We start from the raw sequence: 25,651 nt of genomic DNA, 5'->3' as shown, positions 1-25,651 counted from the left end.
TATTTATTTTTATTATAAAGATATTGCAGATTTACTGCATATAATTTGGAAAATGTAAAAAGACTAAAGCAGAAAATAGTTTTCACTCATCATATCACTATTCAGAGACAACCAATATTGATATTTTAATCTCTTATTTCTGTATATGTATTAATACTTACACAGTTGAGATCATATTGTATATACAAACTTCCCTTTGCCAATTGTTTTGATTTTAATGATTTTTTTTTGTTATTCTTTGCCTGCTTTTTTTTTTAAAAGATAATAGAAATTTAACATTGTTTTGCAATGAATTTGGATACCAGAATGACATCGATGTGGAGAAACCTTTAAATTCTTTTCAATATCAAAGAAGACAAGCCATGGGTATCCCATTCATCATACAATGTGGTGAGTGTTGAAGTCCATTATAATTACCAAATGTTAAGGGCTCTTAAATATGCAAGTCATTGTGTTAAGAAATGAGGGATGAGGGAGACAAAGGTAAGACATCTTGCTTTCCAGGAGTTTACAGTCTGGAAGAAAGTTATAAGTGTGAAAATAATTGTAATACAGGGAAAAATAAGGTAAGTGATATACTAGAGACAAATAATTATTTGAGGGTTCAAAGAAAAGGATGGGGGAGTAGAGGCAAGATTCTATGATGGAGTAGCATTTGTGATAGTCTTTAAACTAGTTTCAGGCCAGGCATGGTGGCTCATGCCTATAATCCTAGCACTTAGGGAGGCTGAGGTGGGTAGATTGCTTGAGCTCAGGAGTTTGATACCAGCCTATGCAACATGGCAAAACCCCACCCCTACAAAAAATACAAAAATTAGCCAGGCATGATAGTGCACACCTGTGGTCGCAGCTACTTGAGAGGCTGAAGTGGGAGGATCGCTTGAGCCTGGGAGGTTGAGGCTGTGGTGAGCTGTGATTGTGCCTCTGCACTCCACCCTGGGCAACACAGTGAGTCCCTGTCTCAAAAAAATAAATTAATTAATTAAAATAGAATTTTGATAGGCAGAGATGAAGAGTAGAGAAATGTGAATTAATATCAGGTGTACACTTCAGCTAAAATGTTTGTGAAATAGTAATAGAAAGAGCCATCTTTCTATTTTTAATATGTAACACTATTTAATACATAGTAGGAATTTAGTAACTGACAACTGAATCACTGAACAATGAATAAATAATAAGACAAAAGTATTAGGTTGGGTAAAGGTGTTAGAGATTCTTGAATGTCAGGATAAGGTTTTACTTTGATAAGCAAGCAGGAGGTATTGGAATTTTTTCCATAGGAGGATAATTACATTCAGCACTTACTGATATGTTTTCTAGCCACTACACAAAGGGGCAGGGAGTTAAAGACAGTCTCTAATATCTGTAACTAACAGCTCAGTAGAGAAAAACAGACGAGCAAACAAAAAAGCAGCCTATAGTGTGTAAAACTCTGTAGAAGTATTTATACAGCTCTCGGGGAGCACCTCCGCAGCCTTTTGCCTAGGAGTATTCCAAGGAAGACCTGACTGGTCAGAGGTAACTTGTAGTTAAAGTTGTTCTGGCAGCTCAGTGAAGGATGACTTGGTGAAGGGCTAGAACAGGAGACTATTGTTGTAATCTAGGATCCAGGTGACGAATTATAAATGTCTGAATGAAGGTGTGGCAGTGAGAGTTAAAAGACAGTTACTTAGAAGGTATAATTGAGGAAATTGATGACAGTATGTGACAGCCTGTCACATGCTAATAATAATGGATAACAGTTACTGTGATTTTGATTTGTACCAGGTACTGTTAGAATCCAATCTCCAGTACTCAAGAGCTATACAAAATTGGGCAAATTGTTTAACTTCTTTAAGTCTCAGTTTCTTCTTTTATGAAATGAGATTAGTACTTGTAGCTACATTATAGAGTTTTGAGAATAATGTGAATTAATAAAGTTTACTAAGTGCTAAGGATAGTGTCTAGCAGTGTTGGTTTTTATGATGATGATGAGGAGGAGGATGTCATTTCATTCTCAGTAACTTTTAGATAAGTACTAATATAATATTAATCTTTTAATAGATAATGATACTGAAATATAAGCAGTTAAATAATTTGTCCAAGATCATAGAGGTGGTAAGAGGTGGAGCTGTTCAAGTTCTTAACCTTTGTGTGTACTGACTCTCTCTGCCTTAGATGAAAGGGACAAGTGTTAACCTACGAGCCGTTAGCAGTGTGTCTGGAGGGAATTCAGGATTAAATGTAAGTGTAGCCTGGAGAGGGAAGTGTGCCTTCGTCCTAAAGGCAAGGAAGGACTGTTTTGGAAAGTGGGTGAAGAAATCAGAAACTATAGACTGGAGAGGGGAATAAGAACAGAAGAAAGTACAGAAGAAAATGTGTATATGGTTCAAAAAACTAACTTCCCTTCCTTCCTTCCTTCCTTCCTTCCTTCCTTCCTTCCTTCCTTCCTTCCTTCCTTCCTCCTTTCTTGCTTTCCTTCTTTCTTTCTTTCAGTTTAATTTTATACTAGTTGAGATCATGGTTTTCCTTCTTATGTTAATCATGTAGTTGGAGACAGAAAGTGGTATTGTCAGCAGACAGGTAGTAGGTCAGAGAAAATGGGAGAGTCAAGTCACTGAAATTATTAATTTGGTTTTAGAAGAGGTGAAGTGGATGTATTATTTAAGGTTCTTTTGGCTGAAAGTAGCAGAAACTAACTGGAGGGAACTGAGATAATAATAATAATAACTTGTTGGTGGGGTCTTGAAGTAGCTCATAGAACCCTAGAATAGATGTGTCATCAAGAATAATGGTATATGATGAAGGATTCAGTTGTCTTTGGATTGAGAGATACCTCATACTTTTGATATGTGCAAACTGACATCTTACTATGATAGATTCATTTCTGATCTCTTTTCTGTGTCATTTTGTTTTGATTGTCAGATCTTTGTCTTAAATGGAGAGTCTTGCCTTCCTCTACTAATTATCAGGAAAAAGAATTTTTTGACATTTGGATTTGTGCTAATAATCCCAACCGCTTGGAAAACAGGTATTTTTGATTATTTTCTAAAATTCTTTATTCATTTTTAATTTCTAAAGTTCATATGTATGAACCTTGAAAATGTCAATCTATAATATAGATTTTAGCTTAGTATCTGGTATCTCTTCAAACTCTTTCTAATGCCCTGCTACCTGTGCAAAGATTATTTCATTGGCGTGCTTTTCCATCAAGTAATAGAAATCTGGGTGTAACTATCTGAAGACGTTGGGGTGAGCAGCTCTGCACTTCCACCCATGGGAGACCACAACCTGGTACTTAAGAGTTCTTCCTTCCAGTTCATTTTCATACAACATATGTCCTTATTGTACAGGAGTGTTACTCAGAGAGTGTCTCCAGGGGCATTAAACTGTTAGACCGTATGCTTTTTCTGCTTAAATCATATATTGATTTCATTGCTTTACACTCTTGGAGGAAAAAGTTCAGACTAAAACAGGAAAAAGACTGATTAAATATTGAAGGATGTCAATGTTATTACAAGCCCTTTTAGACTAATATTTTCCCCCATAGGGAAAATGGTTAGTATTCCCCTTTAACAAAAGCACCCCTAAGTCAAGCATTGCTTTTCCATGCAGTCTGTTCTAAGTCCTTTGAGCTGGATACGTGAATCAATATTTTTAATATAGACATTAGGGTAATAACTCCTGTTTGGTTATTTTTTTATCTAGCTCTGAAAAAGAAGAGCAAAAAGATAAAAGAAAAAGAAAACATTTGGAAACTGCTGCTAAAACCCCTTTCATCTAGAGTCCTCAGGTTATTTATATTTAGAGACTGAAGAAAAATGTCAGAGGTGGCAAAGGGTCTTAGATTTCTCATGGCCCAGGTTTTTTCGTATCCCTTTCTTGTTTTGCAATGCAACCTTGTTTTTCCCAAATAAAAACTTGTCACAGAACCCAAAAATAAGTAGATAAATGCAAAACTGTCCTGATTGAATTAGAGGCTGGGAACCTAAGGTATCCACTTTTTATTTCTGTTCCCTACTCTGCAGAAAGCCTAGAGCTCCAGGGACCGTGATTATAAAACACTGTTCTATTCTTCTTTATTTTGGAAAAATGAGAATTAAAACGCAAATCCAGGCTAAGAAACCTATGTATGAAGCCACTGGCCAAGATCTTCTGTTTCCTAACCTGCGTTCATCCCCAACTTGGGACTTAAATATCTCCCAAATAGGAACAAAGTGTTGGCTCAGTTTCAATATTAAGAATAGTTAATCATATGAACTTACCATGAACTAAGAACTTTCATATAGTCTAGGATTGTATTTAGAGTTCAGACTCTGGAGACAGACTGCCTGGGTTTGACTCCTGGTTCTATTAGCTGTGAAATCTCAGAAATTACATAACCTCCCTTTAACTAAGCTTCCCATACACTGGAATGTGGTATAATTATAGGATCTTTATGCATCTTCTCTGGATCCAGCTAAGCCCCATAGTTAGGACAATCTGCTGAAAGTCCCTGGTCACTAGAGGCCCTTGATCCCAGAATTTAGGCTACTTCCCACAGATGTAACCCTATCCCTAGGATTTCTTAGACCAGTCTTGGGCACTCTCAGACCTACAGAACTGGGAAGCTGTCGTCTGCAGTTTCCCTTACCTTCAACTTACTGTTGTCCCTGCATTGGCACAGACTCACCCCCTTCTGAAAAGTAACAGTACCACCTCAGAGCATTGTAAAATTGGTTTCAAAGCTGTATTAATTCTGTCTCTCTTTAAAAATTTAATTTTTAATTTGTATGAGTACATGATATGTATATATATTTGTGAGTATATGAGATACTTTGATAAGGCATATAGTATGTAATAATCACATCGGGGTAAATAGAGGTATTCATCACTTCAAGCATTTATCATTTCTTTGTGTTAGAATGTTTCAAATAATACTTTTAGTTATAAAATGTATAATAAGCTATTGCTGATTGTAGTCACCTTGCGCTATCAAATACAAGATCTTATTGATTTAATTCTGTCTCTTTTACACGTAAAAACAGTGCCACTTGTGATGAGTGGCTAGATAAATTTAGCCATGTTGACAGAAAACTGATGGACCTTAAAGGTCTAAAGTGCAAAAAAGTTTTCTTATATTTATAATTTTCTTAAGTCCTTGATTCTTTAAATATACTGACATGATATTAACCATCTGTGTTTTATTTTCACTGAAAAGATTGTGACAAAAATATGCTTAAAGTGGCAGCAAGAAATTTAGGGGAGATGTAAAGCAAAATTGATTAAAAGGGCAGTTAATTGAGATTTGGCACTTCCTTCATGGGAGCTCCTTAACAGTGATGTAGATATGATGATTCCCAGGGAGGGGGAAGAAATTGTTCTGATGACCTTGCTCAGTTCTTTGATTCAAAATGGTAGGATGGGCCATCTATACCTTGAGAATATGCTTCAAAATACATTATTGCTAGGCAAAACCCCTGACATATGTGCCATTGGACTTGGATAGAATCACTTAAAATAAGTGTATTAAAGTGATGACAAGTATAATTATTTATTAGGGAATAGTCTGTGAGTAGCAGGACGGAGTAATGGGGTGAAAAGTGTCATTGTCTATATTTACAGAAAATACGGTTTCTTGTCAGTAGTTATTTGCCAATTGTCAGCAAGGCCATTACCAACAGACAGCATTTGAATGAACAATGTGTAACTAGAACTTGGGCTGGAAACATAGTAATAACTTTCTCTTACTTTGCAATTATATATGCTCATTCCATTTTTATAAAAGGCCTATGAACTTTCCCCATTTCTCAGAGAAGAAAATAGAGAGGCTAAGAAAGGATTAGTGACTTGCCCAGAATTCTTCACTACAGCTGAAACTGGAAGCCAAGTTTCTGATGCAAAACCTGTACTCTTCCTGCCTTATCACATTGTCTGTTGGAAGGCATCCTTCTCCATTTCAGGAAGCCTAGTTTCATTCAGATACTTTTTAGTGGACAAAATACATCTTACAAATGGTAGTATTCAGTAATACCCGGAGAGGGTAAGGTGGAGCCATTCTTTTTTCAAACCACTGGAGCCTGGTTTTGTTTTCCACTTCAAGCACAGAGGGAGGCTATACATTTTTGACACAGTATCTGAGAAATAGCCATCAGTTTGCTTCCATTACATTCATACCATGCACTTATCTGCATTGAAAATAGGGATTACCAGCAGAGAAAAAATGATGCCTATTACTTGGCTGAACCAAAAATGTCTGAATTTTGAAAAGGATGTTAAAAAATATTTATGGATTGTATTGCATATTAAAGTGTAATTCATTTCCAAACATCTTTAAATGAAGACAGTTGAATGAATTGCATTCTAATAAAATGCTTGAGGTTTCTTCCTTCTGAATAAAAACTTAATGTTGTCACAGGTTCTTTTCTGAAATGAAGTAGAAGCCTGTATAGATGCCACCCCACAGATGTCTTCAAATCAACACTGTGGGTTGCTGTATATATAGAAGTTGTCCCTAGAATTTGTTTACCTAACACCTTTCTTTGAAAATAACGATAATAACAAACACCATATGTGGGTGGAATTAAGTGTTTTTTCACAGTAGTACCTGAATTTGATTGTAGTTCCTAACTCTTCTCTGTTGGTATGGGGCGAGAAAAATATATGCTGCAGCCCTGAAGAACAGAGAAGTGATGGGTCTCATCTGCCTCCCTTTTCCCTCACTGTTTCAGATGGGAGAAAGTCCTCTCTCGATCCTCAGCCTCCTCCTCCCTTGCCTGGCCTAACACCCATGTATTTTCTGTGGACTTTGTCCCTCCTCTTTTTGGTAGCTCAGTGGAACTCCTCCCCTCCCTACCCCTAATCAATAATAGAAAACTCTGTGACCTAGAGTGGGCTCGAAGAACTGACCTCAGCGTCTTACGACACTACTGCGTGTTCCTTCCCCTCCATGCCCTGAATCAAAGCTATGCCCAGTGGGAGCTGAACTTCTTGTCTGTATCAAGCCTTGATACCGAAGTGAACAAAATAATATCTTATTTTTTCAGCAGTTTGGCTGACTCAGTTCCCCAGTACATAACCACAAAAACAAAAGTAAGAAAAGGAAAAATGGCCTCAAACCTTCCAAACCATATGCTTTGAGGGTTATTAGTATTTTTTTGTAATTTTAACAAGGAATGTGCTCATCCATAGCCTGTTTATTGTTCATTTACAAATCATCCTACATTATTATGTATTTACTAACCCACAAGTTATTAGAACAGCATATCTGTAAGGCTGGAAAGCAGATACTCTTACGACAGCAGAGCACTTGGGCAGGATGCTGCCATCAGGACCAGTGGGCGATTTGGGGAAGGGGCTTTAACGCATCTCATTACCTCCCAAGGCTATTGCTGAATCCTACATCACATCACGGGTAGTCACGGGTCTTCACAGTGATCCTGGGGTTATTAAACAGATAATCCATATGTTTCAGAGGCATAATTATTTGCTATATTTTAAAGAGACATATATATTTCGCTACCTTTTTTGGGGGGGGAAATGGCAGTGATGAGATAAGCTCAGTGATCTAAAATAATTTTTGCAAAAGGCCTCATTTTATGATAATGTAGAATAAGTGAAGCATTAGCAATATAATTGATGCTTTCCCATCCTCGTTAATATATGGTACTGTCCACATTTTTTATTAGGCTGTTTTCCATGCAAATTGGAGATGTAAGGTTATTTGTTATCGAAAGCCACGGATACAATGCTTTTCCTTCCTATTTGAATTTTGGATATATGACATAAAGAGTAACTCCTTGTAGAAGTAAATCGTCTTTTACAGACAGTAAGTAGTTTTATATTTCTCCTGATGTTAATCTTGTACTTGTTGATTCTGAAGTTGTCATCAGGTAGAATGTCTACCTTCCATCCCACTGGGCACCATGAGCACAATATCACCATCAAAAAATGAGAAAGAGAAGCAACTTAGAGAGTCGGTCATAAAGTATCAAAATAGACTGGCAGAACAGCAGCCACAGGTGAGTTGTGATTAATTCCTCCCTAATTCTACTGTGACTCTTTAACTGTTGGTTTCATATGTGCAAATTGACTAAAGTGGTTTACACAATAAAATGTGTATAATCTTTTTCCTGTCCTTTTTGACATCTTTTAATTTTGGATCTAAGACCTGTTCTAGAGGGTGAGTTTTGTAAAAAAAAAAAAAATACTGTATATGTGATATCTAAGCCCATCTATACGACAATGCATGTGAGAAATAGGGACATTTATTTCTACTCCACAGCTGCACATAGAACCTTATAGAGTCAGTCAGCATGTCCAAGGTCATGTGGTCAAGGCGCAACACAAATTTGTGTAACTCCAAAGGTTAGGCTGTTTTTATTTCATTCTTCCCTGAGGGAGGGTTTTAAGGTAAAGAGTTCTTTTAAAAAACATTAACCTATTAACTTAGAAAGTCAAAGCATATTTAATTGTTAAGAAAATTCAATAAATAAAACATTACTATCAATCAACATAGGTAACCATGACAATTTCGAGTGTAAGAAAATGTGGCATGTAGAAAAATTATTTTATTTTCTTGACTAATAATTAAACCTCTATAGATTTAGCACATAAATTCATCATTTTTTAAATGTGAAGCCTGTTGGCTTCCTCAAATAGCAGTTGTAGCATATGTCCAAATGTGTGGACACTTCTATAGATGTCAGGAAATAAAATGCTTATTAAAATAGAAAATTCAATGATGAAGTGGGATTTAAGCTCCCCAGCTGTAGCAGCTTATAGTAAGTGTTTTCCTGGGCTCATAGAAGATTACTCTTTTACCTCACTTAGCTTGCTAGGGTTCTGCAGTGCAAGTCAGATACCACCTGAGATTACAACCAAAGAAACCAGAGCTTTCCTTTTTACCCTGGAGTCTTAGGGTCTCTCTTGGAAAGATACTGAGAGTCACTTTGGAAACACATTCTCCTAAGCACTCCCCACCTCCAAAAAGTAGCTCAACTTTCTACAGTTTTTAAGGCCTTTAGTCATGGTTTCTTGTCAGACAAAAGTCAGAAATAAAGGTTTCACAGACTTTTAATAAATAATTAGGTACATTCAGATCTTTTTGTTATGAAATATTTTAATTTTGTTTCTTATTTACCACACTTGGTAGCTTTGTGAAGGCATTCAGCACATTATGAATTGATTGCATCTTTATTGCCATCTCTGGACATTGTTTTTCTTTTCTATAGCAGTGATAGCCAACCCCAGTATACTAATAATGCCAATCATCAAGACTTAATTAGCTTGTTGTTTGTTTAGAATTGGATGTTGTGTTCATCATTGAGGTAGAGAATCTGATGGCAGCTGGTGGAATAGCAGATTTGGGCCAACAGTTCTGTTTATTCTTTTTTGTTGGTAGTTGATTTTTTTTCATAAGATTTAAGCCAAGGTTATAGATCCAGTTTGTTTCAAATGTAAACAAAGAAATTTAGCAGTACTTATATAGAAATTCACTGCCAGTACTTCAAAGGACATAAGAATCCACTCCATCCTCCTTTTTCCTTTTGCAAAAGGAAGATTTTACAAAATCTTTTTGTGAAAAGATTCCTAACATCTTTTACATACTTTCTGGTACTCAGGGCTTGTAACTGACCCTGCTTTTGTGGTAACCAAGGAAAGCTTTGGGTTGTGGTTCACTGAACCAAAGGCAACCAGTTAATTTTGAGGTGATCATTGAGCACATACTTGCCCTCAGGTCTGTCCCAGGCTGGGAATTATGGGAAATACAGAGTATCTGTAATACCAAAATGTAAGTTCTGTGAGAGCAGGGGTAGTGTTGGTTTTACTTACTGTGAATCTGTATTAACCAAAACAGTGCCTGGCATATACCAGGTACTCAATAGGTAGTTGAATCAATAAGTAAAACATGCCGTCAGATATTATACAGTCTTTTTGTGGATCAAGTCTAACAGCTATTTAAAAATGAGCAACCACTATAAAGTAATATTAATTCACATGTGTTTTCTTATTGTAACTGACACTGCAATAGAAGTTTACTGCAGGAGATAGTGAGGGCAGCTTCAATCAAAGAAAGTTATATAGGGGTGTTGGGCATGGTGGCTCACACCTGTAATCCCAGCACTTTGGGAGGCTGAGATGGGCAGATCACTTGAGGTCAGGAGTTTGAGACCAGCCTGGCCAACATGGTGAAACATCATCTCTACAGAAAATACAAAAAATTAGCTGGGTGTGGTGGCTCACGCCTGTAATCCCAGCTACTTCAGAGGCTGAGGTGGGAGAATCCTTTGAACCTGGGAGGCAGAAGTTGCAGTGAGCCCACGCCACTGCATTCCAGCCTGGGGGAAAGATGAGACTCTGTCTCAAAAAAAAAAAAAAAAAAAAAAAAAAGAAAAAAGAAAAAGAAACCAAAGAAAGTTATATAGGGGAAGTGATACTTGTATCTTGAAGTCTATTTAGGATAAATAGAGGGAAAAGGATAGGGCATTTCAGGTGAGAAAAACAACCTAAAGGAACACTTGGAGCTGAACACTGATTTGTTCTTTCATGGAACCAGTCACTTAAATTACATGTTAAGCTTTCATATTTTAAAAATTAAACTCAGTATTTGTGTGGCATCTCTCTTTTAAAAATGGTGTGACTTGTTACAATGATGCAACTCCCATATAGTTATAATATGGTAATTACTGAACAGAAGACCTCTGAAAGATGACCTTGATTCCTCCTTTCACAAAAATAATCCATGAACATGTTCAGAAACTATGTTTTGGTGATATTTATCTGATGTCAAAACTAAGACTAAAAACCATGCAATGTTCAGTGTAAATTTCCTGTCCTCATTCTAAAACCCTTTAGAAGTAGTTTTGGAATGTGAGATAAGAAAGGATGGGAAAGCTAGAAAAACAGGCCATCATTGGCCCCATTCAGTTTCAAATATAGGCTAGACATCACTGAAAAAATCAAGAACTGGCTAGTTTATTACTATGATTCACTGTATGTCTATTTTTGGTGTCCATTCACCCATTCAGTATCACAGAATCATACAATATATGCCATGTAATTATTATTTGCCCACCTCCTGTTTTCTCTTCCTCCATCCCACTCCCAATGACCACTTATCCATTGACCAGACCTGTGTAGTGAATATAAAAATGACCTAAACCTGCACACCCTATCTCTTAACTCTCTTGCATTTCAGCTTTAATGGTAGCAGGCATCTTGATCTGGAAAATGAAAGGTTGACCAGGTAAATCAAAAATCTTTCTGGATTTTAGGTTCTATGGGTATCTAATGATTAGATGGTAAGAGAGTTATCCTAATTATTAGATGTTGTCCCATAGGAGAAAATGAAGTAGCTAGATCTAAAGGTATCGTTTCCACATGGTATCTTATTTAATTCCTACAACATTCCAGCTAGTTATATCTATTTTAACAAAGAGGAAAGTGAAATCCAAAAAAGTTAAAAATAATTTTAATCAAAGCACGTAACTTTAAATGGTGAAGTTGGAATTTATTTCCTTTTTGCCCAATTCCAGCACCATATTTCTCGCAGTCTTATAGGAAAAATACAGACAAAAAGGACATAAGAACATTTACAGTAGCAACAAACTTATATATTGCAAATCATATTTGTTAAGGGAAATACCTAAGTTCAGTAAACCTAATAGGAGAGCTCAAATTCAAGATCTGTCACCTGTGGTGCATTTTATAGACTAAAGGGGTTGTCCTCCATGTAATTGATAAGCTATGTCAACAAGCCAAGATCCTTGTTATAAATTGTGCTTCTGAATACAACCCATCCCCATCTTTATCCTTTTGAATAGATGAATAAGTAATCTGTTTCTAACTACTTTCAGCTTCATTCCACATTACCTGCTGTTTTCTATACCGAGTGACAAGTGCCACCTGCTGGCCAAGTGATGAAGCTTTTATTTCTATTGTTTCACTGGATTGCTCAGTTGTAATTGGCATATTAGCTGGATAATTGTTATTTTTTGGTAAACCTAGGCAATAATTTAAAAACCATAATGTTATAAAATAAATTTCTCTGTATTTCAGGACCTCTCCGTTCTCAAATTTGCCTCTTTCTCAGATTTAACTTAAAATTTCTCTTCTACCTTCTATTGTGTGACAAGGATGATTGTGTCATTATCATGCACACAGAATCTAGTTTTAGTTACACTTTATTCAGGATTTTATGGTACCATCTAAAATCCACTTAATACCCTCAATCATTAAAAGACAGATCATACCTTTCTCCCTGAATTAAGCTACCCTATATTTACCCCTTTATACCTAAGTAATGTTAATGAGTAGTGTATTTGCATAATCAATATATTTCTGCAATGTGTGATGAATTGCTTATGTGTCCCCTAGGTCTTTCTGAATTAATCTTTTGTATTTACTATACATTTCTTGGCCTACAGCCCAGGCTGTCTATAATCTGACACTAGTTGCCTTTCTATTAATATAATAGCATTCGTTTCTTTCACTCTGTATGGTGCTGCTACTGAGCTTCTCCATATTTCTTACAAGTGTTCACTTCCATGTGGCTCTGCAGGCCTTTGTTTGTGCATTCTTGTCTGGAGCAGCCTCTGGTCCTTCTCCAGTCCTTCAAGATCCAAAACTATTGCCAATCCCTGTATGATTTACCTACTTAGAAAAGTATCTCCTTCATTTCATTTACCTACTTGGAAAAGTATCTCCTTCATTTACCTACTTAGAAAAGTATCTTTCATTTACCTACTTAGAAAAGTACCTTCTTCCTTCCAGTTCCCTTTGTCCCATGTGGTTTTTCTTAGAGCATGTTTTACTTCTACCTGGTATTATAGTCACTTTATGTCTAATATTATAGTTACTTATGTGTCTCATCTGTCTGCCATATCAGACTATATGCTTTTTGAAATAAAGGACTATTTCTCTTCATCTTTGCATTCCCAATAGTACCTAGGCCTGCAGCTTTCATGTAATAGGTATTTAGCAAACAATGAAGGATGGAAAGAATAATTTGATTTATGCAGAATTCCTGAAAGGTGAATATTTTATATTTGATTGGATTGGTTGACTCTACATAGGTTAGGCTGACCAACTTCTGCATATATTACTGAAGACCAAAATGTTCTTATACCTGGTCACAATAAACTGTTGTATTTGGATTGGAGTACAGAGACTGCATTTGGATTTCATTCGTCATGTTCATAGTCATCCCATCAAATATATAGCATTTATAAGACTTCATGCCTGGTGAGAAGAAACTCCAGCAATAGAATTCTGTTCTTCTTCAGTGCTCATGTGGACACACATACAGACAGAAATGAAATAGTATAATCTGGCAATTCCCACATTGATTGTTTTAGCAGTAAATGCATAACAAAGAAGGCTTGCCGAACTTTTAGCTGTGTTTTTCAGATTGAATGGCGTATCTGAGTACAGCTTTGTATGAAGAATGTGAATGCATTTTTCCATGTAGAACTTAATCTTTTTAATGTGTCATTATTGTGTAGGCTGCTGAGGTTTCAAATCTCTATAACTATAGTGACAGATGCCATAGAAAATATATTTATTCTTCAAGAGTGCTTTTCAGCCTCCTTATATAAACTGTCATGATCTAAAATTTGTGACACCTAAAGGCCCTTGTCTAACAAGAGGCTATTCTAGTTATTGTAGATGAAATATTTTACTTTATTACTCTTACTACAAAGATCTCATTTCTCTATGGTGATGTATTGCTTTTCGAAGAGGGATAATGCATGATATATTCACACTTGTGGGTCCTATGCCCTGTGTTCATGGCATACCAAATGAGACATTAAACAAATTGCCTTATGATTAACTAGTGTACAAGTCCTTTGAAGGCAGGTATCATCTGTTGCTTTCTTCTGTGTACCTCCTACTACCACACCTGGTGCAATGCTGGGCACAGTAGATGTCTAACAGGAGTTCAACTCCTTAACTTGCACTGCTTCTCCAAATTATTTTCTTACTCATCCTTTTTGGAGAAGCTGACATCATACTTCCTGATGGAACAGCATTTGTGGTTTACTAAACAGACCCGGACAGCACTAATGATTAAAGGGCATCAGAACAGCCTGGCATTGTGGCATAGCATGGTGCAGGGAACTCAGGATATTCTCAGCTCCTGGCTTCATAAGCAACTTTATTTTGCCATGGGGTTGACACTGAGGAATGCCATCCATTGTTGTCTACTCCTGGGTTTCACAGAAGTGACCAAATGCTGTCGTCAAAGGCCAAGAGGAGTTTGAGTCCAGAGGGAACACATTTTTCCTCCCAGAAGGACAGCAATAGCTTTGACAGTTGCAGGCAGTCTTGCCACATTACATCCCTCTGTTTGCATGCTAGTCAGTGATTCCTGTTCACATCAGCAGAGATGGAGAGAGGAGTAGAGGTTCAGATGTGTTGCCTGAAATGATTTTCACTGCAGGGAATACTGATTTGGGTTTTAATGCAAATACACCTATTTGATCTCTACCCTACAAAAACTCCTTAAGCATCTAAACTCTAGGTACAACCAGTCCCCAGTTAGTGTGCATGTTAATCAGGGACTATCAGAGGCTGTCTGGCGTCTGGGGTACACCTCAGGGCCTGTTCCCTGACTGTGCTCAGAGTAAGATACAAGTCTTTGGCTTCCTTCCGCAGCAGGCTGCTCGCTGCTCCCCTGTCAAGGAAGTCTGTGCCTCCACGCCTGTACCCTCTGGGCACCAGCCCACCTGAGTCTTCCTCTCTCAGCTTGAATCCTGTTTTTCAATTTGCTTGACCCAATTTCCTTCTTACTTAGGACCTAACTTTACATTTTGAATTCAGTTTGGGGAATTGTGTTTCATGACTGTTGTTCTGATTTTGAACTTAAACCTTGTATCTTGTACCCCTGATTCAACCTCATTCAATCCTTGTCACCTGACCATATTTGTGATCTGAATCTGCTCCCTTCCTCTGTCTCAATTCCTGGAGGCTGGAGTAAAATTCATACCTAATCTTTTTTTTTTTTGAGACAGAGTCTCACTGTGTCGCCCAGGCTGGAGTGCAGTGACGCAAACTCGGCTCACTGCAAGCTCTGCCCCCGGGTTCACACCATTCTCCTGCCTCAGCCTCCCGAGTAGCTGGGACCACAGGCACCCGCCACCACACCCGGCTAATTTTTTGTATTTTTAGTAGAGACGGGGTTTCACCGTGTTAGCCAGGATGGTCTCGATCTCCTGACCTCGTGATCCACCCGCCTCGGCCTCCCAAAGTGCTGGGATTACAGGCTCATACTTAATCTTAACTGGGGTCTATTTTTTACCTTGTACTTTACCAACATGTGATTTAACCTCTCCACTCCTTCAGTTAGTCTTCCCCCACCAAGTCCAGCATTCTAACCAGGGTGTAAGGTCTCCTGACACATCAGGGATTTGCATTGAGTCCTGAAGAACTAACTGACGTTAGTCCATGAACTTTGCTTCACAAGGGTCTAGAATAACTTTTCCTCCACTTGGCGGGACCCCCCTTGTAGGCACAAGCCAAGACCACTAGGAATAATTTCTGGCATTTGAAAATAAAATGAAGTATTACTTAAAATGCATCTGAACAGGAGCAGATCTAGTTTTGTTTTGTTTTGTTTTGTTTGAGCCTGAGGTTCATACAATTTTTGGGATCCCTTTTAAAACAGAAAATACCAAACTATAAATATGAAGTTAGGACAGCGCCATGGAAGAGGCTTTGTAAGGGAGGGATGTTGCCACTTAAGCTACATATACTTCATGGTTCACCCACCATTTGTTTTTGCATGTATTATACCATGTGGTCACTGCAGGGTTTTTTTGTAATAAAGGAGAATTACATATTTTTCATATTTCCAATTCCCTTCTCTCCAATCTCTCCCCCAAGATTTCCATAATTATCTATACTTTTGGTGAATTCTAAAACTACCTAATTCCTGTAACTGTAGGAACCTAACGAGAAGAAACCTAACGAGAAGGATGAATGGAGGGGTGAAATGATAATAACACTTAGAATGTGCCTCTATCAGCAGTGCTGTAAATTCACTGACATTTAATCCTTATTACAATGCTATGATTGTTATGATTCCTATTTTGTGGATGAGGAAACTGAGTCACAGAGAAATAATCTGCCAAAGATGGAGTTAGGAAACTGCAGAACCATGATTTCAGCCAACGCAGACTGGTTCCAGACCCCTCATTCTATTACTAAATTATATTGCCCCTCTGGCCAACGTGACGTAAACAATGTAAGAATAGGGGTAGATCTGAAATGTAGGATTGATTCTTAGTTCAAAGCTGTTCAAACGACTCTGCTTTTCTATTTTCAGTTTGGCTCAGTAGCTCTTCTGTGTAAGAGAAGTTGAGAAATTAACTGCTAATTGTAAACATAATTTCTTTTTCTGAGTAGCTCTGTCTATAGTGGGCAGGTTTGGAAGGCAAAGTGACTTTGGAAAGCTTTACAGAAGGGGCAATGCTTACGAGCTCTTTGAAGAAGGAGATGCAAGCAGCAGGATGTGGTGGACAGCATTGGCCTGGCGTTAGGATCCCTGCCTTCAGGTCCCAGCTCTGTTGTTCATAAGCCAAGTGACCTCAGGCCTGTCTGGTGTCTGTAGTCCTTGATCTGAGTACCACCAGGCCGGTGAAAAGAAGAAGATTAAGACTGTATTTTCAGGGATCATGTCTATAGGTCATTTCTAGAGAAGCTTCTCTGAACATTTAGGGCACAGGAAACCACGAGGAGGCGCAGCATTCTCTCCTGAGCATGGAACCGGTGTTGCTTCACTGCAACTGGCCGTTCATTTGCTCTTGGTGATCATTCCTCTCTTCCTTTGGGAGAGGAATAGGGAGAGGACACAGTCGAGGAGTTCCTGTTTTAACAAGTAAAAAAGGTGGAGGTGAGGAATTAAGCTAGATGTTTGCAAAGACCCATTCAAATTTTAGAACCCGTGAATATCAGTTGCCAATCTTCTATCACAAGCAGTTATGTTTGAAATATCTATATTTACTAATACCATTTTGAATATAAACATGATATTTCTGGAGCAGAGCAAAGTATTATATATAACACAAGGAATCACCCTTTGCTCTGGTTTTTACCCCTGGAGCAATGGATTGGGTGAGAGTCAGATCAGATGATATCTTACAATTTGTACTGCAGGCAAAGAACTCCTAAGAAAATGTATCTGGACATTTCTGTATGAGAGTGGCAACCACCCTCTCCACATTCTTTTGCTCTTTGGGAAGGGCCCTGAGTTGTAACTCTTACCCTTTGGAATATAAACAGATCTCTGGGGGTAGGGGAAGATGAGACTAGTTTCTCCAGCTTTACAATTCTGGTCTTGTCTCTGTGGTCCCAGATTTTATTCCTCCCTTAAAATGTAAACACATATTTCCAGGGAGGTAAATGTCTCTGGAGGCAAATCTCTTCACATGCCCTCTCCACTAATAATCAGTTGCAGATTAAATTCTAAGATTTGTTCTTTTAGTCCAGGTCCCAAGTGAAGTAAATTTAATCAGAAAATCCTAACTGTACAGAAACATAAAAGTATTTTCTCTATAGTCCCACAAAGAATTGATAGAAAATTAGAAAGGAGCATTCTTTACTTTCCAGGGCTGTGAGTCTAAGATTATGGGACTGTCTGTTTGAAAACAATGTCACAATTTTATAGAAATATTCACTCCTGAGATCTACACCAGACGGACTAAACAAGAATCTCTTGGTCTGGTGCTTTGGAATCTCCATTTCTGCTGCTTCCCAGATGTATGCACCACCAATATTCACTTCTTTATTCCTGGTTTAAGGATTCTTCAGTGTTTCTACTTCCAGAGACAGTTCATCTTATGCAGCTCTCACTGATTCAGTGTGTGATTTGCGGGACTTTCTGAACTCATAAAGAAATGTAATAGTCTTGCTGGGAGAAGTTATAAGTGTCATTTAAAAATGAATACTGATATTTTCAAGCTTTCTAGGGTAATGATTCTTCTTTGAAATCTGAAAAGATGATGATGATGATAAAAAAAGATGCTATCATTGGTAAACAGCTACTCATTAAGTAACTCAGATTTTGAAGTAGGTTAACTGTGTTATTCAGATTTCTATTTTACAAAAATTCAATCAAAGATGTAAGAATGCATTCCTCAAAAAAAGTACATATGTGATTTTAAAAAAATGTATTTTTAAAACTATAGGCCAGCCCCAAAACTGATGCTGAAAATCTTCATCTATTAGTTGAAATGTATCTATTAGTGGAAATCTCTATCTCTAATTAGAACCAGAAGGAAAACTTTTAGGGGAACTATTTACATTTTTCGTTTAGGTCAACTTCATTTAGTACACTTAACATGTGCAAATTTAGTGCACTAATTTTATGTATATCGCTCTTTCCACAGAAGATGCTTCAAAAGATAAACCAAAAGTATCCTACTTTTTGTCTTAATGCTTTAGAAAACTTTCTCCTGATCTTGTGTTTTACTATTTTGCTTTGACTTTTTCACTTCAATTCCATTAGATTATTAAATTAAGTATGCAAGTATTTCCTTTATATCTATTATGATCTAAGCATCGTGCTAAGTCCATTGGGCCTTATAACAGAAAGGCGATTGATTGCCAAGCTCAGCAAGATAAGTTTCAGAGGGAAAGCCAGGTGGGATGAGGGGAAGTAGTGAATGGAAAGTAAAGAAATAGACGCCATGGGTAATAAGCTGTGTTAGGAAGTTTTGTACTAAAGGAGCAAAGAAACATGGGGTTACAGCTAGAGCATTAGGTAGGGTTGAGGTAAATTCATGGTTAGGAGAGATTAGACAATGTTTCTGGAGTAAGAGGAAAAAGCCAGTAAAATTGAAGAAATACAGCACACAGGTGTGATGGGACCTTTTCCTTTTTTCTTTCTTTTCTTTTTTCTTTTTTTGAGATGGAGTTTTGCTCTGTCACCCAGTCTGGAATGCAGTGGTGCGATCTCAGCTCACTGCAACCTCCGCCTCCCAGGATTTAAGCGATTCTCCTGCCTCAGCTTCCCCAGTAGCTGGGATTACAGGCGCCCGCCACCATGCCTGGTTAATTTTTGTATTTTTTAGTAGAGACAGGGTTTCACCATGTTGATCAGGCTGGTCTTGAACTCCTGACCTCAAGTCATCTGCGCACCTCGGCCTCCCAAAGTGCTGGGATTACAGGCATGAGCCACTGCGCCCGGCCTGGGACCTTTTTCATGTAGAGAGTCCAGCAAGGACAGGAAGTAAGGATTATGAGGACCCCGGTGCAGGGTTTAAGTTAGGGCAGGAAGAGGGACATTTTTTCCTCTGAGATTGTAGAAAAGAAGTTAAGGGTGTTCACACACACCTAAAAATCTTAACTTTTTTTTCCTTCCTATAAAGAGGAGTCAGGGTCATCTGAGTGAAAGAGGCAGGCTTTATATGGAGGGTACAGTAAAGATTTGGAACAATCTTTGTGGAGATGGATACAGAAGCTAGTTAGGGACAAGTGAAAAGATTGTCCAGAAGAGTATGAGAATTATGCATATTTCTTGTAGTGTGGATTCAGTGGTTATATATAGTTTAAGCATCACTGATCTGAAAATTTGAAATTCAAAATAATCCAAAATTTAAAATTTTTTCAGTGTGATACAACACTACAAGAGGAAAATTCATCTGGTTTATGTGACAGGTTGCAGTCAAAACAGTCAAAACGTTGTTTCATGCACAAAAGTATTTAAAATATTGTATAAAATTACCTTGAGACTGTGTGTATGAGGTGTATATGAAACATAAATGGTTTTCATGTTCAGACTTGGGTTCCCTAGATAACTAATTATATATATGCAAATATTCCAAAATTCAAAAAGTCCCAAATCTGATTCCCAGACAGACTGTCCTGGGAATCACTTCTGTCCCCAGGCATTTTGGATAAGAGATACTCAACTTGCACAAATTTTAGCAGCTTGGAATTTCTGCAAAGATGGAAAATGATGTCATTGATCCAAGATTGAGGATTATGCGTGGCAGAGCATAGCTGATGTGATGGACTGTTTTTCTCAGGCAGAATTGGGAATGGACTGGAAGTCAAGAGGGGTATAGTAAATTCAGAGAAAGAACTGTGGGAAAAGAAGTTTCTATGCATATGAAGAACATTGATAATAATCCTGAAAGAATTAGAAGAACTATAAATTATAAAGAAGAGAAAAGCATTTCAGAGGTAGATAAGTTTTAAGAGATGAAAAGACTGACCAGTGTAAGTTCCTCAAAGTGACTGAATTTCAGCTACCCCTGGAGTTACAAAGTGAAAGTAGCATGTGATAGAATTAAAGAAGATGAGCAGAACTCAGATGGGTGGGAGGAATAGACCCAACATTCTTAAGGATATGGTGCACTTTACTAAAGATACAGTTAAAATGTAACCCACTCATTGACTATGGTATAATCTTCTAGGTATAGATCTAAGGTAGAAAAGGTGCTCAGTGCAGCTGTCTTTGAATTCTTCCCCTATCTCTTGCTGTGTTCTTCCAATTGTGAGTGAATTTTTGCCTTCACCCTGTTACTGGAGGTCATTGCTATGTCTGTTCTTGCTTCTGTACTACCTTAAAACGTTTCATTTGGGGCTGGGTGTGGTGGCTCCCGCCTGTAATCCTAGCACTTTGGGAGGCAAAGGAGGGCGGATCACTTGAGGTCAGGAGTTCGAAACCTGGCTAACATGGTGAAACCCCGTCTCTACTAAAAATACGAACAAATTAGCTGGGCGTGGTGGCAGGTGCCTGTAACCCCAGCTACTCGGGAGGCTGAGGCAGGAGAATCGCTTGAACCCAGGAGGCAGAGGTTGCAGTGAGCCGAGATTACGCCACTGCACTCCAGCCTGGGTGACAGAGTGAGACTCTGTCTCAAAAAACAAACAAGTTTTATTTGACATAATTATTAATGTCTTTCTACTCAAAATGTAGTTGAGACATACATCTTTGCTGTGTTTTTCTATAATATCTTAAGTTCTTTTTTAGAAGCAACTCTGATGTTAAAATGAAAGAGTGTAATTTATAGAACTTATAAAATTTTTATTTACTCAAAATTCTGTTTAGTGATGTGATTAATAGTTCAGGTCAAAATCCATTACAATAAAACTAGCACGAAATAATTATCTTCAAGCTAGCACCTAAAATATTACAAACCCAAATAATTTAAGAGAATCATACATTGTGAAATCCATTTTGCTGTATCAGGAACAAGACTCATCCCAGAGTGATTCAAACACTGGAAGAGAGTATACACTGGAATTTAATATAAAGCATCTGAATGGTGTAATAAGCTCCCACAAGTAGTGGAGAAATAACCACCTTTTGAATGTAGAGTAGACTTGTGGTACTGTTTTGGCTATGAAAGAGGTGAGCAGTGGGCTCTAGAAGCATCTGTTTATCCTGCCAATCATCAACATTTTGTTGAGAACCTATAATACTCAAAATCTTGTATGAGGTACTACAGATAAAAACAAATAATTGGGAGTTTACAATTTATTGAAAGAGATCCACATGTCAACATGTAACTATTAGACATTGTGATATGTACAATGATAAAGGTAGGTAAAGTGTTATAGGGGACTTTTGGTATAAATATGGCTATATAGATTTAGCATTTCCCCATTTTCTGAAAGTCTTCTAAGAGCAACACAGAAAATGGAAGACAAAAATGCAAACTGAAATTTTAGTCAAACTAGGAAACTGTCTTAGTCTCTTTTGTGATACTATAACAAAATACCAAAGATTGGGTAATTTATAAAGAAAAGAAATTTATTTCTCACAGTTCTAGAGGCTGGGAAGTTCAATATCAAGGTGCCAGTATCTTGTCAGGGCCTTCTTGCTGTGTAATCCCATGGCAGAAAGCAAGGGAGGGAAAGAAGGCAAGAGAGAGAGAGATTGAACTTGCAGTCTCAAATCCTGTAATAATTGGCATTAATCCATTCATGAGAATGGAATCCTCATAACCTAAACACCTCCCTTTAGGCCCCACCTCCCAACACTGTTGCATTGCAGATTAAGTTTCCAGTACATGCTTTTGGGGGGACACATTCAAGCCATAGCATAGATGTATATCAACATATTTCTCAGGGCTGCTCAAAGCAATCAAGATGATGCAGGAGCTCCACAGGAAGAATAGAAGAGAAATCTAAGGAAGAGCCCAGCGGTAGCATATCAAAAGAATCCATACAAATACACTTACTGAAGAAGGACACATCTAGAGATGGAAAAGCTATAGCCGTTATCTGCAATAGCCAGCAGGCAACAGGAACCCTACTGGACCAACTTTGATTCACATTAGTAGAAAATGTGAAATGCACATGAAAGGACTCAAATAAGTCACAATTTGCAGAAGCAGTATTTTTTGTAGAGATCAGAGGAAAAGAAGCTAGGCTTGTGAAAAATAACTTGCCTAGAAATTTGCCCTCCACTTAACGCTTTCTATAGAAAGCTCTGGCAAAGAGCTGGTCCTGGAAAATCCAACTTTTATAATGACATGTTTAAAAAAACAAACTAGTGTAGCATCTAAACAGATACACTAAAAAAACAAAGATTCCAGTAAAATGTCAATAAGAAACCATATAATTATATAACATAAATAAAATACTGCAAGAAAAACGTTAAAGAATTCTAGCAAAATATAAATGACAAAAAAGAAGCAACTATAGCCATTCCTGATAAAATTTTCAGAAAATCAGGAATAGAAGAAAACTCTCTCAACTGATAAAGGGCATCTACAAAACACTTGCAGCTAAAATCTTGCTTATTAGTGAAAGAATCAATGTTCTCCCACTAAGGTCAGGAATGAGGCAAGGGAGTTTCACTCTCACCCCTCCAGTTCCACATTGTACAAGAGGTTCTAGATGGTGTGAAAAGAGAGAAAAAGAAAGAAAAGGCACTCAGATTACAGAAGAAGAGGTAAAAGTTTTTTTTCTTTCAAGATTTGATAGTTTATGTAGAAAACAGATAATATTTACAGAAAGTTACTAGAACTACTGAAATGAGCTTTAGCAAGGTTGCAGGACACAAAATCAATATATAAAAATTAACTTTTTCTATATATTAGCAAACAGTTGGAAATTGAAATTGAAAAATACCATTTCCAATAGCATTAAAATATATGAACTACTTACAGATAACGTTGACGAAATACATGTAAGACCTGTACACTGAAAGCTGTAGAACACTGCTGAAAACATTAAATAAAACACATAAATGAAGACAGATTCCATGTCATGAGTTTGAAGAGTCAACATTGCTAAGATGTCTATTCTCCCCAGTTGGCATCAATTAAAATTCAAACAAGTATTTTGATAGATACTAAAAACTGATTCTAAAATTTATATGGCATGCAAAGAATTTAGAAAAAATAACCTTAAAAAAGAACAAAGATGGAGGAATCATACTACCTAATTTTAATACTCATAATAAAACTGTAATTAAGTCAGTGTGGTATTGGTGTAAAAAGAGACAAATATAGCAATGAAATGGAATAGAGAGTTTAGAAATAGACCCACATGTATATAGCCAGCTGATTTTCAACTAAGGGATCAAGACATTTTAATGAGAGAATAAGAATCTTTTCAACAAATGGAACCAAAACATTTGGATAGCCATATATCCCCCAAAATAACAAACATTGATTCTTACCTCCTGTCATATACAACATTATTTTGAAATAGATCATAGGGCTAAATGTAAAAGATAACCTAGAAGAAAATATAGGAAGAAATTTTAGTGACCTGATATTTGGCATATATTTCTAAAAAATGACACATAATGCATGATCTATAAAAAGAAAATTTTTTAAATTGTACCTCATCAAAATTAATGACTTTTGCTCTTCAAAAGACATTGTTAAGAAATTGAAAAGTCAAGCTACAGACTGGGAGAAAATATTTGCAAAATAATACCTGACAGTGGACTTGTATCTGGAGTATGGAGAGAACTTTTAAAACTCGGCTGGGCTCAGTGGCTCACGCCTGTAATCCTAGCACTTTGGGAGGCCAAGGTGGGCGGATCACCTGACGTTGGGAGTTCAAGACCAGCCTGACCAACATGGAGAAACCCCGTCTCTGCTAAAAATACAAAATTAGCCAGGCGTGGTGGCGCATGCCTGTAATCATAGCTACTCTGGAGGCTGAAGCAGTAGAATTGCTTGAACCTGGGAGGCGGAGGTTGCGGTGAGCTCAGATTGTGCCATTGCACTTCAGCCTGGGCAGCAAGAGCGAAACTCCATCTCAAAAAAAAAAAAAACAAAAACAAAGCACAAAAACAATAATAAGACAATGCAGTTAAAAAATAGACACATTTAAGCAGGTACTTAATCAAAGGAGACATGCAGATAGCCAATAAACACATGAAAAGTCAATTTCGTTAATCATTAAGGGAACTGCAAATTAAAACCACAATGAGATAACCACTACACACTCACTACGATGGATAAAGTTAAAATGATTACGCTATGTTGACCTAGGATAGAGAGCAACCATTGAAAATGCAAAATGGTAAAGTGACATAGGAAAACAGTTTGGCAGGGTTTTTTTTGTTTTGGTTTTTGTTTTTTGAGATGTGGTCTCACTGTGTTGCCCATGCTGGAGTGCAGTGGCACAATTATAGCTCACAGCAGTCTCAAACTCCTAGCCTCAAGTGATCCTCCTGCCTTGGCCTCCCAAAGGGTTGGGATTATAGGAGTAAGCCTAGTTTGGCAGTTTTTTAAAAAGTTAAAGATATACCTATCATATGACCCAGATATTCCACTCCTAGGTATTAGTCAAGAGAAATGTAAGCATATATCCACCGCAAAACTTGTACATGTGTGCTTATACTAAGTAGCTTTGTAATTGCCAAAACCTGGAAAACATCCAGATGACCATCAAAAGGCGAAAGGACAAATTATGGCATGTCCATTCAGTGGAAAGCTACTTAGTAACAGGAAGGAGTGCACTCTTGATTCACACAGCAATATGGATGAGTTTTTAAATAATTATTCTAAGTGAAAGAAGTCAAGATTACATACTGTGTGATTTCACTTAATATAAAACTCCAGAAGATACAGCTAATTGACAGCAAGAGAAAGCAGATCAGTGGTTGGTTAGGGATGGGGCAGGGTTGGAAGAGGTGGTGGGGAGACAAGGAAACTTTTGGGGATGATCAGTATGTTAATTATCTTGATTATTATACATATATCAAAATCTTTCAAATTATGTATTTGAATTTTGTGCTGTTATTTGTTCGTCAACTATATCTCACTAAAGCTGTAAATTAGAGAAAAGAAAAATTAAAATGCACATCAGAAGGAAATTAAACATACACATTTATACATACATTTTTAAAAACCCAATGAAAAAAATCATTTTTATGAAAGAAGATTCTGAAACAAATATAAGGATTTATGAAGAGATGCTGAGACTATACGAGACAATGAAATAAAACATAATTTGCAGAACTTAAACAGAAGAAATGAAATCATACAATTGGAAAAAACACAAGGCAAATTATCATTTTGGTAAGCATAGTGGGGATATAGAGCAAAGGTCACCAACTATTACCTATGGGCCAAATCTAGTCCTGTTCATTTATGGCCCACAAGCTGAAAATGACTTTTACATTTGTAGATGGTAAAGAGAGAAAGAGGGAGAAGAGAGAGAGAGAAAAGAATACACAACAGAGACTGTATGTGACCTGCAAAACTATTTACTA

General features: G+C 37.3%; 1 protein-coding gene and 1 non-coding gene across 12 annotated transcripts in view; both read left to right on the top strand.

Annotated features, from left to right (window-relative positions):
• Positions 1-25,651, top strand: part of MORC1 (MORC family CW-type zinc finger 1) — a 159,887-nt gene that overhangs the window by 82,405 nt on the left and 51,831 nt on the right. For all 11 annotated transcript variants that reach the window (NM_014429.4, XM_005247362.3, XM_047447968.1 and 8 more), the window contains 3 exons: positions 262-390; positions 2,905-3,010; positions 7,841-7,979. In NM_014429.4, the coding sequence (NP_055244.3) occupies positions 262-390; positions 2,905-3,010; positions 7,841-7,979 (374 nt within the window). The remainder of the gene's footprint in view (positions 1-261; positions 391-2,904; positions 3,011-7,840; positions 7,980-25,651) is intronic.
• LOC124906382 (small nucleolar RNA U3) lies at positions 16,614-16,821 on the top strand. Its single transcript, XR_007096345.1, has one exon. It is a non-coding gene; the product is annotated as a small nucleolar RNA U3 (small nucleolar RNA).

This window comes from Homo sapiens, chromosome 3 (assembly GCF_000001405.40).
Source record: "Homo sapiens chromosome 3, GRCh38.p14 Primary Assembly".
In the NCBI taxonomy this organism is placed as follows: Eukaryota; Metazoa; Chordata; class Mammalia; order Primates; family Hominidae; genus Homo; species Homo sapiens.
This window is presented reverse-complemented; position numbering and strand designations above follow the sequence as displayed.